Genomic DNA, 13,817 nt, shown 5'->3' on the forward strand with positions numbered 1-13,817 from the left:
ATTAACCTCTTCTGGTTCTGAGGCTGTCATTCATTCACTCAGTTATTTATTCAGCTCATTTTAATAAATGTGGTGGCCAGCCTTCTAAGAGAACCCCAATCATTCCTGCCTCCTGGAATTAGTTGTGTAAGAATCTACCACACTGAATAGGGCTGACCTATGTAACTAGTAAGATATTGTGGAAATAGCAGAGTATGACTTTTGAGGCTGGGTCATAAAACAGACTGCAGCTTCCACATTGCCCTCTCTTTTGGATCACTTCTCTGGAGGAAGCCAGCTGTCATGTCATGAAGACATTCAAGCAGCCCTGTGGAGAAATCCATGTGACAAAGAACTGAGGCCTCCTGCCAACAGCCATGTGAGTGCACCGTCTTGGAAGAGGATCCTCCAGCCATCATCAAGCCTCCAGTTGAGACCACAGGCCCAACTGATATATAGACTGCAATCTCATGAGAGACCCTGAAGTACAACCACACAGCAAAGCCATTCCCAGATTTCAGACCCCCCAGAAACTATGTGAGATAATCAATGTTTATTGCTTTAAGCTGCTAACTTCGGGGCTAATTTGTTATGCAGCAATTGATAACTAATACAACAAGCACCCACTGCATACCAGACCCTGAACTAGGTAGTAGCATGCAAAAAATGAACAAAGCAAATACCACCTCTGCTTCCCAGAGCTTATAGTCCAGTAGCAAATCTTATGCAGAAAGTAGAATTAGTCTAAAAAGATCATTTAGAAATTGGGATCTGATATCAGTACAGTAAAAATACAATCTTCTCTACGAAGAAAAATTAAAAAACAATACCTTTTACTTTGTATTTCTGTATTGTCTAATTGTCTTTTTTAAAGTAATTTTTATCAAGGCATCTTCTCATGAATAATTCTTATGAGAATTTAATTGATACACCTTTTCAGAAAGGAATCTTGGCAACATATATCAGAAAAGTCATAAAAGGACAAGACACTGTGGCTCACAACTGTAATCCAAGCACTTTGGGACACTGAGATGGGCAGATCATTTGAGGTCAGGAGTTCGAGACCAGCCTGGCCAACATGGCAAAACTGCATCTCTACTAAAAATTAGCCAGGCCTGATGGGGCAAAACTGCATCTCTACTAAAAATTAGCCAGGTGTGGTGGTGTGTGCCTGTAGTCCCAGCTGCTTGGGAGGCTGAGGCATACGAATGGCTTGAACCCATGAGGCAGAAGTAGCAGTGAGCCGAGATTGTACCACTGCACTCCAGTCTGAGTGACAAAGCAAGACTCTGTCTCAAAAAAAAAAAAAAAAAAAAAAAAAAAAAAAAAAAGCCATAAAAGTGTGCGTACCCTTTGACCCAGAAATTTAACTTAAAGAAATATGCAGAAATCTATGAAAAGAGGAAAATCAATGGGTGCTCACTACACTGTTATTTATGAGTGCCTGAAATTGGAAAGGGCCTAATTATCAATAATAATAAGCTGGTTAAATTACTATTTAATTCTGGGCCTTCCATACATTGGACTCTTACGTAACAATTAAAAAGATGATGTAGCTCTACATTTATTTTCAAGGAAATACGTCCTGACATACTGCTAACTGAGAGGTTATATAACAGTATATACTGTATAACTCTATTTTAATAAAAACATATATTTATGCATAAAATTATTGGAAAGCTAAACCACAACATGTTAATGATGTTATGTCTAGGCAGAGGGATTAGAAATATATATATGTTTTATTTCTTTTGGCTTGCCTGTGTTTTTTAATTTTTATTTTAAAGTTATGGATTACTTTGGGAACATATAGAGTTCCAAATACATTTAAGTAAGGCTCCCTATGTGCTCATTAATTAGGCTCACCTTTGCTATTCTTAGGTTGCTTGTTTTTCCCTAACCCTCCAGAACAGACCAGCCCCCATGTTCTGACCCACCTCTCCTTCCTCCCCTTTTTCACCAACTACTGGGGACTGGAGATATGCCTGAGTCCTTGAATCAAATAGAGAATACAGATCTCCTTCAAAGTGCCCCCAGATAACCCCTCCATCTTCTGCAGGGAAGATCTACCTCCCCAGAGGGACCTGGCAAGCAGCTCCTATCATTGGCTTTGAAGGCAGAGTGAACAGATGAGACCAATTCAGCACCCATCAAGGACTCAGGCAGAAAGCAAGCTGATGGCATTCCCTACTTGGGATGGCCCGTGAAGGATTTGTGACTTCAGTGGAGAAACTTTTAAGAGACCATAAGCCGAGTTGAGTGATCAGGAATTTTATCCGATTGAAATGAAAGTTGGGAGGAAGGAGGCTAGACTTTTAAACTTGGCCAAGGTCCACTTCATAGCAGCGAGAATGTAACAGGCAGATCGGTGTTCTTATTACTTACCTCAAGCAACAGATGACCACCTGGACCATTTCTGTCTCTTGAGTGCAACAACAAGGCTCCTGGCCCCAGCTGAGATTGTCTCTGTTTCCATGACCAGTCTGACTCCCTAACCCTCCAGAACAGACCAGCCCCCATGTTCTGACCTGCCTCTCCTTCCCTTCTTGACCAACTACTGGGGACTGGAGAGAACATTGCAGCAGTTATTCCCAATTCTCCACTTGCTCCCTTACACCCAGATGAATTAATTCATTCATTTGCCAATAAGAAGTTTGCACTGACAATTGAGAGGTTTGGATATTCTTTTGAATACAAGGAAGAGCTCATTTATTCCTTCAAGACAATTAAGTGCCTCCTGCAGGATGAGGATGGGACAGGCCCTGGGCCAAGCACTGGGCACAGAACTGTGAACAAGACCACATGATCTTACAGCTGTGGAGTTCACCTGCTAGGCAGGAGAGAGATACTAAACAAGTAAATACAGAACATCATTTCTGATGGTGACATGTGGAAGGAAATAGACCTGTGGCTAAGTTGGGGAATAACTAAGACCGTGGTCCAAAGTCAGAGAAGGCCTCCTGGAAGAGTAACATTTGAGCAAATGCCTGAATAAAGCTAGACGTTCATTGACCAGCAGAGTCTTTTATAACTACCCCAGTTCCGTGGAAAACTTGGGCTGGTCTAAGTACTGTCCAGGCACAGTACACAGGGGGCTTTTGATCTTCTGAACTACCAGCCCCTTCAGTGTGTTCAGAACCCTACCCTCTATCTCTAGGGCTTATGAGTATCCTGGAATGATGAAAGGAGAGGTTGTTCCGATGGGAAGGTCACACTGGGAGCTGGCAAATCTCAGGGCCTCTGCAGGCTGAACATCCAATAGGTAGCATGCTGATTATGATGGACAAGAGACCCTGGCCAGATGCTACCAGGAAAGACAGCAAGTGTGATCCCCAGAACTTTCTGGAGCAGAAGCTGGGCAATCTAATGCTGCTCAGATCCCACCTAGTTCCTGAAAAATTCACCTTCAGGTGGAGGTTGATCCAGCCTCTTGTGTCTGTCCACCTGTTTAGGTCAGATCCTTTCCCCTGGTTCCTTTATCTATTTTCCCTCTCAAATTCTATCTATCTTTCCCCCTCCCTTCCAGCCTAGATATCCTTTTTCTGGCTCAGGGACTGATACCCACCCTTATTCATTATAAATACCAAATGTATTTTCTGTGACCTGAGATCCTCATTAAAGGGCATAGAATTTTGAATTTCAAAAGCTGGAGGGAGATTCTATTTTCCTTTGTTTTCTGATGTCTCAACTTTTCCCTGAAACAAGGAGTACAAAAGAAACAAACACATATTTGGAATGGAGGTAGAGAGTGACAAAATGGGCTGGGGGGTGGGGGGTGACTGGTACAATGCAAAGAATAACAGTAGCCAGGCTGTGGCACAAGCTATTCTGGAGGCCAGGATTGGTGGCACACACCTGTAGTCCCAGCTAGTCTAGAGGCTGTGGCAGGCAGATCGCTAGAGGCCAGATGTTCAGGGCTGCAGTGAGCTATGATTGCATCACTGCTCCAGCCTGGGCAACAGAGCAAGACCCTATCTAAAAAAAAATTAAAAAGTGCTTAGCAGTGAGTGTTTAACTAAAGGAAGTCCATAATATGGGAGGATCCCTTGAGCCCAGGAGTTGCAGGCTGCTGTGAGCTATGATCACAACGCAGCACTCCAGCCTAGGTGACAAAGTGAGACCCTATCTCAAAAAAGCAAACAAAACCCAGTAAATATTAAAATATCCCAAGAAAAATTGCTTAATGTTTTCAAATTATTACCTCACTACAAATATCGAGTGAGCATCTACTGGGTACAGAGTTAGGGACTGGGAAAACCACAGGAATCTAGACGGGCCCCCATCCTCAGGAGGCTAGTGAAAAGGAAAGCGGGGACATGGGATGAGCAGGGAGAGCCTCCAACTGCCACGGAGATGAAGAGCAGCACCTCGGTCCACACAGCAGGGAGCTTTGGAGCAGAGATCACCAGGAAAAACTACCCAGGCCCATACCTCGGTCAAGTGCAGTCATCAGCCAGGAAAGAACCTGGCTTTAGCCAGAAGCCAAGGTGACTCTGGAAGGCTCTGCAGCTAGATCTGTGGGCTCCTGCAGTGCTCACAGCTGGGCAGAGGGTTCTTTCTTGAAAGGAGATCTGGAATGGGGCAGGGCTGTGACTCTTTCACACCCTAAGGAGGGCAATGAAATGGGCTGAAGAGGTGAGCAGAGGACTCAATAACCCGGCTCTTAGGGCTGTCTGAGAGAGCGTCCATGACCAGGAAAATCGACAGAGAGACCTGAAGGTGCAGGGAGAGTCAGAGGAGGGTGTAGAGTAGGGGTAAGTGTGTGAAAGTTGAAGCCAGGCCGCCCTGGGATGTGGGTTTAACCCACACTCTGCCACCCACCACCGGAGAGGTGAGAACAGGTTGTATCATCTATTTGTGCTTCAGCTTCCTCTTTAATAGAACTAGGATGATGAGAGTACTAATCCTACAGCTTTATTGGAAAGATTGCAGAAACAGTACTAATCCTATAGCTACATTGGAAGAATAAGAGAAATAGTACTAACCCTATAGCTTTATTGGAAGGATTGCAGAAATAGCACTAACCCTACCACTTTACTGGAAGGATTACAGAAGTTAATGTTCTAGAAAGCACTTAGAAAATGCCTGGACAAGAAACAGCATTCATAAGTGTTAAATTCCCAGGTTAAAAAAAAAAATGAAAAACAGTACTTCTAGGCAGAGAGCACAGCCTAAGTAATAACCCGGAGGATGGGAACAGAACAGGAAAGAAGGTAACCCACATCGGTGGTACAAATCCAGCCAAATGCCCAGGTAATCTAATTCAACTCAAGTAATATTTAATTTATTTTTCAGGCACCTATTTTAAGGAAAATACATTCTTTGGTCTTGTCTAACAGCCCACCAAGATGTACTCTGTCATTTTCTCCAAAATCCATTCAGATCTTGCCCAGATTGACTCAAAGCTGAAAAACAATGAATGTTGGTGCCCTTTCCACAGTCCCACATCCCTTTCTGGTTAAAGCTGCTATTTAGTTCAAAACGACAGATGTTGACACAAATTCTTGCTGCCACCCACAAGAAAAATTGAGTGAACTCCTGAAAGCCCCTCCTCCTTGTCTCAGACTCAGATCTTCTCTCTCCTCTCTCCTCTCTCTCCTCTCTCTCTTTCTCTCTCCGTTCCCTCCTGGTGCCTCCAGGGTGGAGACCGGTCAGCCCCTCCCAGGCCAGCCGGTCATCCATCAGCCTCGAGCTGCCCTGCCCTGCACGTTGCGGACTCCACCAGCTCCTTCCTGCCCCTCTCGCCAGCCCATATGGAATGAGTTGCTCCATTTTTACTCCTTATCAGAAATGGAAATATTTCCCCTGCATCTTTGTGAAGATTTTCTGCATCTGTGAGCTGGATGGATACTTAACCCTTCTCATTCCAAGGTGCTGCTGGGCCTTGGAATCCCAATGTGGAATCCCTGGATGCGGAATCCTCAGATCACAGAAGTGGGGGGTTCAGCACTTGGGAGGAATCCAGTTACACCACTCCATGACTTTAGAAACAGGTCCTTGAGGTAGCTCCTTCTCCATTTTATTAATCTTGAACTTGCACCTCTAGGATAGAAATGACAGCAACCAGCACATTTTGGGTGCTTGCTATAGGCACATTTAATTCTTCCAGCAACCACGGAGATAGATGTTGGTATCATCATCCCCATTTTACAGATGAAGCTCAGAGAGGTTAAGTAACTCGCCCAAGGTCACACAGCCAGTAAGTGACAAAGCTGAGCTATCTAAGCCACAGCTGGAGTTCTTTTCCATTCACTGTAAGACTGTAGAGAGACATAAATGATAGTGCACTGTGACCTAGGACAGTCTTTCCATCCTAACCTACCAAATTTTACAGATACTGTGAGATGGGAGGAAGCAGTGAGCCAGCAACTTTCCCAAGGGTATGCAGCTAGTAAATGAGAAAGCCGATGTGGATGCAGGCCCAGGAGCTCTGCAGCACACCCGTTTATTCTCATTTTCTTCTTTAAGAAATGCAAGGTAGGCTGGGCATGGTGACTCATGTCCATAATCCTAGCACTTTGGGAGACTGCGGTGGGTGGATCGCTTGAGCCCAGGAGTTTGAGACTAGCTTAAGCAACATAGTGAAACTCTGTCTCTGCAGAAAATTTAAAAATTAGCCAGGTGTAGTGGAGTGCACCTGTAGTCCCAGGTACTCAGGAGGCTGAGGCAGGAGAATCACCTGAGCCCAGGAAGTAGAGGTTTCAGTGAGCCATGATCGTGCCAATGCACTGCAGCCTGGGTGACAGAGCTAGACCCTGTCTCAAAAAAAAAAAAAAAAAAAAAAAGAAAGAAAGAAAAAAGAAAAAGAAAAAAGAAATATAAGATTGAGGCTTGGTTATCCATAAAGGAGGACTGAATAAATTTTTCAGCTAAGAGCCTGGGTTCCAGAGTCAGGCAGAACAAGGTTTGAATCCTGATGTCACCATTTACAAGTGGCATGTTCAGGGGCAAGTTGTCCCACCTTCTTAAGCCTCAATTTGCTCAGCTATAGAATGGGGCTAACAAAAAAAATCTACCTTAAAGGGATTTGGTAGGGGTTATTCGCGACTCTAAAGGCAAAACGCTCAGCATAGTACCTGGCACATCACATTAGCCCTCAGTAAATAGTAACAATCTTTACATTGTTATTAATAATAAACGTGGATGGCCAGGCATGATGGGTCACACCCGTAATCCCAGCATTTTGGGAGGCCGAGGCAGGTGGATTGCTTGAGTTCAGGAATTCGAAACCAGCCTGGCCAACATGGTGAAACCCCATCTCTGCTAAAGATACAAAAATTAGCCAAGCATGGTGATGTGCGCTGTAATCCCAGCTACTTGGGAGGCTGAGGCAGAAGAATCGCTTGAACCCAGAGAGTGGAGGTTGCAGAGAGCTGAGATCGTGCCTCTACACTCCAGCCTGGGTGACAGAGCAAGACTCTGTCTAATATAATAATAATAATATTAATAATAATAATAAATGTGGATTGATTTATGTCTAAAGGCAGCCAGCAAATATTTGTGGAGCAACTACTGGGTGCAATGCCTCAGGCCACGAGCATTCAAGGATGCAAAGAAGAGTCAGCTGTCAAGTAACTTTATGTAGAAAAGAAGAGTTGGGTATGTGACAAGGTCAATGGCGATTCAGTTAGAAGGGAGGTCTGTGTGAAGCTTTCTCATCTTGGGTAGCGTATTGTATTATATTTATTTGTATTATATTTATATCTTTGTGTGTGTGCGTATATATATATATATATATATATATATAAAATATTGTATTATATTTATATCTTCAAGCAGCTCATAGTCCAGATGGGGACCCAACTCCATGCATCTTCACAGTGGTGTCAGTTCTTCCTCCAAAATATATCCATTATGCATCCACTTCTCTGCGTGTCTATTATCGAAACTACCCTGTCTCCTGCCTGGGTGATTACAATGGGTTCCTAAGTGGTTTCCCTGATCCTCCTCAGGTCCCCCTAAAACCCAGCATGATGTTTAATGTACAAATCACATAATTTCACTCCTCCATTACGAGGAGATCTTGTAACCAGCATAAGGAGTTTAGATTTTTTTTTTCCTAAGGCTCCTGCTGACCTCTCCAATACCATCTCTTACCTCCAAGCCCTGATCTCTTTGCCCCAAGCCACTGTCTTTCTTGCCATTACTCAAAACACACCAAGTTCTTCCCCACCTCAGGGACTTTGCACTTGTTGTTTCCTCTGCCTGAGACATGCATCTGCCCACATAGTCCCATGAATAATTCTTCTTATCATCAATGTCTTAGCTGAAACATCAGCTCCCTGGAGATGCCTCCCCTGACTGTCATTTGTAGACATGCATCTCCACTTCACATTGTATCATATTCCTCTATCACATCACATGCAGTTACCTCACACTTTTATTTATTTATGTGCTTATGGTCTGTCCCTACCCCAACCAGAGCATGAACTCCAGGAGGGCAGGGATCCTCTCTGTTCTGTTCACTGTTGAATCCCCAGCGCCTAGCCTACTGCCTGGCACATAGTAGGACCAGAAATATATTTGTTTAATGAAATGATAGATGAAGGGTTTGAGAGCTCCTTGGAAACAGAGGACATACATTCTTCTCCTTAGGATCCAAAGAACCTGGAACACTGCCAGGCACCCAGTAGGTGCCAAATTAATGCTTGTTGAATGAATGAAGATTATCATTCAAGAGACTTCACAGGCAACCCATAACCTTAAACTCCTTGAAAGAAGAACCTCTTTACTTTTTATCTCTAACCAAAACCCTACTTACTAGAGTAGATGCCCAATTAATGCGTCTTGAACTGAACCAACCTATAAGTACAGATTCCAGAAGCTTGGAATTAGTGGAAAGTCAACTCATTGAATGTGGAGGGCTCTGGGAAGGCTCAGGTAGAAAGAGGTATTGACATGAGTGCTGAAAGATGGTTAGGGGGAGAGAGGGGAGCAAGGAGAGAAAAGAGAGCAAGTGATCCAGGTGAGGATGACAGTAAATACTGAGGCTGAGTCAGCAAAATGCAAAGTATCATCCAGGCACAGTTAATAGATCATCAAGGCTAATAGATCATCCAAGGCTGCCCTGGAGGTGTATACAGGAGGTAACAATATATTGGTTAGAATAAAGTTTGACTACTCTTACAGACAGTGAAACTGACAGTGGTTCAGACAAAACAGAAGTTCATTTCTCCCACACATATAAATCCCATTAAGTAGCCCAGGGTCAATATAGTGACTCTACAATCACCAAAAGGTTTCTCCAGTTTTTGCTCTTCCATCTCCACCACACAGCTACCACCTCATGATCCAAGACAGCTGCTCGGGATCCTGCCATTATGTCTGAGTTCCAGCATGAGGGAGGGAAGAAAAGGAGAAGGGTAGGGCACATCCCTCCCCTTTAAGGGAGCAAATCAAAAATTATACAAATCACTTCTGCTCTTACTCCATTAGCTAGGATTTAGTCCCATGGCCACATTTAGCTGCAAGGGAGTCTGAGAAATGTATTTTTTTATGCTGGGTAGCTATGCATAAGCTAAAGATTCCATTACTATGGATTATTTGGAGGAACCAAATAATCAAGACTCTGCTACAAATAGCAATAATTTTTAAAACAATAATAATAATAATAGTTAAAATTTGTGGAGCGCTTACTCTTGTGCCAGACACAGTTCTTTTAATCCACAACAGTGCTATGTGATTGACGTCATTATCCCCATTCTATAGAAAAGGAAACTGAGGCTCAGAGAAGCACATATAACTTACCCATGGTTGCACAGCTGGTAAGCGGTAAAATCAGGAGTAGATTGATTCAGCAAAGAAGAAAAGCCCAGCTGTTTGTAACCCAAAGAGATGAAACATTATTACCCTCAGAGCACTGGGGAGCCATTGAAGCTTTAACAGCAGAGTAAGAAAACTCCTAATAGTCCCTGAACTCAGGGCTTTATTCTCATTGTCTCATTTCAACTTCAGTACTATTAGTATCCCCATTTTGGTGATGTCTGTTTGGTTCACAGCTGTATCCCTTGTCCCTAGAATGTTGTCTAGCCTGTAATAGATGCTCAGTAAACATTAGTTGAGTTGTTGAAAAATCATATTTGCAATTAAATTACTCTACGTGTCATTATGGTTTATAGTCTGTCTCCCCTAATAGACTGCAGATTCTACTTAGGAATTCCACTTAGGACAAAGTGTGAGTCATATCTATGCTGTATATTACTTCTGATTTCCCCAGTTCTAGCTCAGTGTCTGCAACATAGCACTTGATAAATGCCTGTGGAATGAGTGATCATCATTGTCACTGGGAATGGAAAGATTGAGAGGAACCTCTTTAAAATACTATCCAGGAACCTATCCTTTTCTCAAATTGGAAACAAAATTAAAACTAAAGAACACAACTGCCAACCACTGATGAGGCCCCCAGCTGCTGGGTTCCAAACTCACTTTGGATCCCGTTCAGAACGGACAGGATGCCACCGGCTGGGGCAGGGGTGACTGCAAGGATCATGAAGTCTCTTGATTATCAAACAGTGTTGTGTGGACTTTGAAACCAAACAAATCAGCTTTGATGAGTTGGGTGCGAATAAATCAGAGTCACATGAATTAAAATCCTCTGCAACGTGAAATGATTTTGAAATAAAAAAGGACTCAGCTGGAATATCCCCCATGTCCCCCAAACAAATTGTTTTTTAAACTACTTTAAGGCATGTTCCCGAGCTTACCAGTGCCTGTGGTCTGCTTGACAGCAGGTGCTTTTCAGTGAGTAGTTGGGATTGGTTTTTTGGCAACTTGGAATAGTCCATAGTGCAGCTCCTTTTCTTCTGAAAAAGACTCTGCTATCTGACATCCCAGGGCAGGGACAATTAGGCAAACAGTCTAGACTACCAAAGCCTTAGGGGCAAAACACTTTGCAGATAGACAAATCAAACCATTGAACCAGGAAGGCAAAACTCGGTGTTTGGCAAGACAAAAATTTAGTTTGTTTCTACTGCTGGTCAGGCTGGGAAGATATTACTTCTTGATGAGAATCCTGAAATCAGTAGAGTGACTTATCACTGATAGTCAGCTGCCCACCTCTGCATTATTCTAGACACAATAAATAATTACTTGCAATAAAATAATCCAAAAGTTCCATGCTCCTGCCTGTGTTCTTCTCTACTTTTCTGCCACTTACATGGAAGAATAAAGAACAGCTGGAGAATCTTCATCTCACACCACTCCTCTCACTGCCCATGACATACTTGCCTTCTTGCATTTCCTTGAATCCAGGAAGCTCTTTCTTGGCTTGGATTTTAGCAGCCATTTCTCCCTCTGCCACCAAGGTTCTTCCCTCCAATTTTGCACAAAAACCTGAGACTCTTTCCACTCTCAACCCAAATGTCACTTCCCCAAGGAGCACATCCCTCCACCCTACCCCTCATCCACCTGAATGCTTTCCGTCCTATCATTCACCAATATTTGTAATGAGATGTGTCATTTTTATTTGTCAAACATCTCATTCTCTCACTTATCTGTACTCTCCTTGGGGAGGGGGTTTGGGTATTTTGCTCTACCCTACCCACTTACCTTTCATCTAGAAACCAGACTCTGCCAGCCAAAGGGGCTGGAATTCAGAGCCTTAGAGGAAGACACAGACTCAGCCAGTGCTAACAGAACAAGAGCCATCTATCACTTCCCCATCTGTGACAGCCTAGATGGATTAATAATCTTGGTTAGTCTGAAAATAACTGGTAGATGCATCTGGCCTATGCTTTCCCTTGGCTTATGAATTCCTGTAATGGCACAGACTGGAGTTTGCCCACCTCATCCTTCAAGCCCTTCTCAAAGCCCATCTCCTTCATCATTCCTTTCCTGTTCTTCCCAGGATGAAGTGTTTGCTCCCACCTCAGATTTCCCAGAGTAAATCCTGTTTATTCCCTACAATGGGCAACAAATCTTTCATGGGCCTGTAGCAACCCTTTCAGTTTTGTCTTGAGCTCTTAAATCTCTTTTTGTTTAACTTTCAATATTCATTCATTCTTTTACCTTATAACATCCACTCATTCTCTGGCCAATATGTAAAGTATAGACCATATGAAAGAATAACGATCTTGCCTTGCTAGATCGGATCTAGCAAGCAGTCAGTGGTCTGACGTAAAACATATCTGATTCCATCCCCCTTCTACCCAAACCCTCCAATGGCTCCCAGCTCACTCAAAATAAAATCCAGGGTCCTTACCACAATCTACAAGCCTCTACAGGAACTGCTTCATGCTGATCTCTTAACTTCACCTCCTACCATTCTCACATTTCTTCATCCCACTCCAGGAATCCTCTGCTATTTCTCCAGCATACAAAGTATGTACTACCTCAGGACCTTTGCACTTGCTTTTATGATAGAATCCTATTCAGCCACATGCACTTCCTTAACTGGGCAGGAATATTTCACACCTCTGCCTATGATCTTCATCCTAACCTTACCTACCTGGTAGCATCATGCTTTTCTCTGCCTCAGACATCTGCCTGGCTCATTCACTTAATTCATTTAGGTCTTTGCTCAAAATTCAACATCTTAGAGAGATTATCCTTGGCCTTGATCACACTTGTCACACTTTATTTTTTTACCTTGTTCTTCTTTTCTCTCTAGCCCCTATGACTACCGATTTCATATAGACCTACTTATTTCCTTAGAGTCTATCCCACTATTAGAATATCCATGCTTGCTTACAGTTAGGACCATGTCTGTTTTGATCACCACCCTATCACTGGTAACAAAAACAGGGCTTGGCTTGACACTTAGTGGGTGCCCAATATATATAATGAGTTTAATGAGTTCTTTCAAAGAATTATTACTGAGCACCTCTGTATTAGTGCTGGGTATTCAGAGATGAATAAAACACTGCTCCAACCCTTGAGGAACTGGAAAGCTTGGGGCTAGGGAGAGAAAAGCAGATATGGAAACAATTAAGTGCCTGCCAATGATTCAAGTATAATAGAAGATTATATACATATGATGCACTCTGGAGCCCTGAGGGTTAATTCTACCTTTTCTAGAGAGTTCCTAGAGGAAGGGATACTCACAGGGTTTTGAAGGAGGAGTTGGAGTCAGATCCCACCAGGAAATTGAGTATGATTCTATCATAAAGCTGTATAGTAGGCAGAGCCTGTGTCATGAGGGTGCTTGTAGGCTATTGGAGGAGTTTGGATATTGTCCTGAGTGCAGTGGAGCTCCTTGGGGTTTTAAATAGGGAGGTGCTTCTGAGTTAGCTTCTGCCTTTGTTCAGACTGCTACAAAATACCATAGATTAGGTGGCTTAAACGACAGATATTTATTTCTCACAATTCTGGAGGCTCAAAGCCTGAGATGAGGGTGCCAGCCAGGTCAGGTTCTTGGTAGAGCCCTCGTCCTGGTTCACAGATAGCCATCTTCTTATTGTATCCTCACATGGTAGAGAGCAGATGGAGAGGGTCAAGCCCTGTGTTGTCTCTTTTAATAAAGCTGTCAATCCCATTCATGAGAGGTCCCTCTTCGTGACCTAATCACCTCCCAAAGGCCCCACCTTCTAAGACTATCACATTGAGGATTGGGATTTCAACACATGAATTTGTGAGGGACACAAACATTCAGTCCATAACAGTTCTCTTAATTAATTCAAGAAAGTGCCCTATGTAAAACTGCAAATCCAGAGTGCCTCAAACATAAATGTTTTTTTAGTGGTCTGTGTTGATTTGAATGCCTACATCTTCTGATAGTAGCATCTCAATTTTCCTTTGAATAACATTTGTAGTTAAACTGATGATTTTCCTCCAGTATCTGTTGTTATCTTCTTCCATGGTAAGAGAGCTTGTTCAGAGCTCATGGCCACCTAGCTAATGTG

The 13,817-nt window shown here is 43.1% G+C and overlaps 2 annotated features.

Moving 5' to 3' along the window:
- Positions 5,105 to 5,631: an enhancer, noted in NCBI's record as "H3K4me1 hESC enhancer chr12:114739578-114740104 (GRCh37/hg19 assembly coordinates)". NCBI's record gives its function as "activates a minimal SCP1, AML or CMV promoter by ChIP-STARR-seq in naive H9 embryonic stem cells {active_cell/tissue: H9 hESC(naive)}" and the evidence as "EXISTENCE:reporter gene assay evidence [ECO:0000049][PMID:30033119]".
- Positions 5,632 to 6,158: an enhancer, noted in NCBI's record as "H3K4me1 hESC enhancer chr12:114740105-114740631 (GRCh37/hg19 assembly coordinates)". NCBI's record gives its function as "activates a minimal SCP1, AML or CMV promoter by ChIP-STARR-seq in naive H9 embryonic stem cells {active_cell/tissue: H9 hESC(naive)}" and the evidence as "EXISTENCE:reporter gene assay evidence [ECO:0000049][PMID:30033119]".

The sequence above is a fragment of the Homo sapiens genome, chromosome 12 (assembly GCF_000001405.40).
Source record: "Homo sapiens chromosome 12, GRCh38.p14 Primary Assembly".
Classification (NCBI taxonomy): Eukaryota; Metazoa; Chordata; class Mammalia; order Primates; family Hominidae; genus Homo; species Homo sapiens.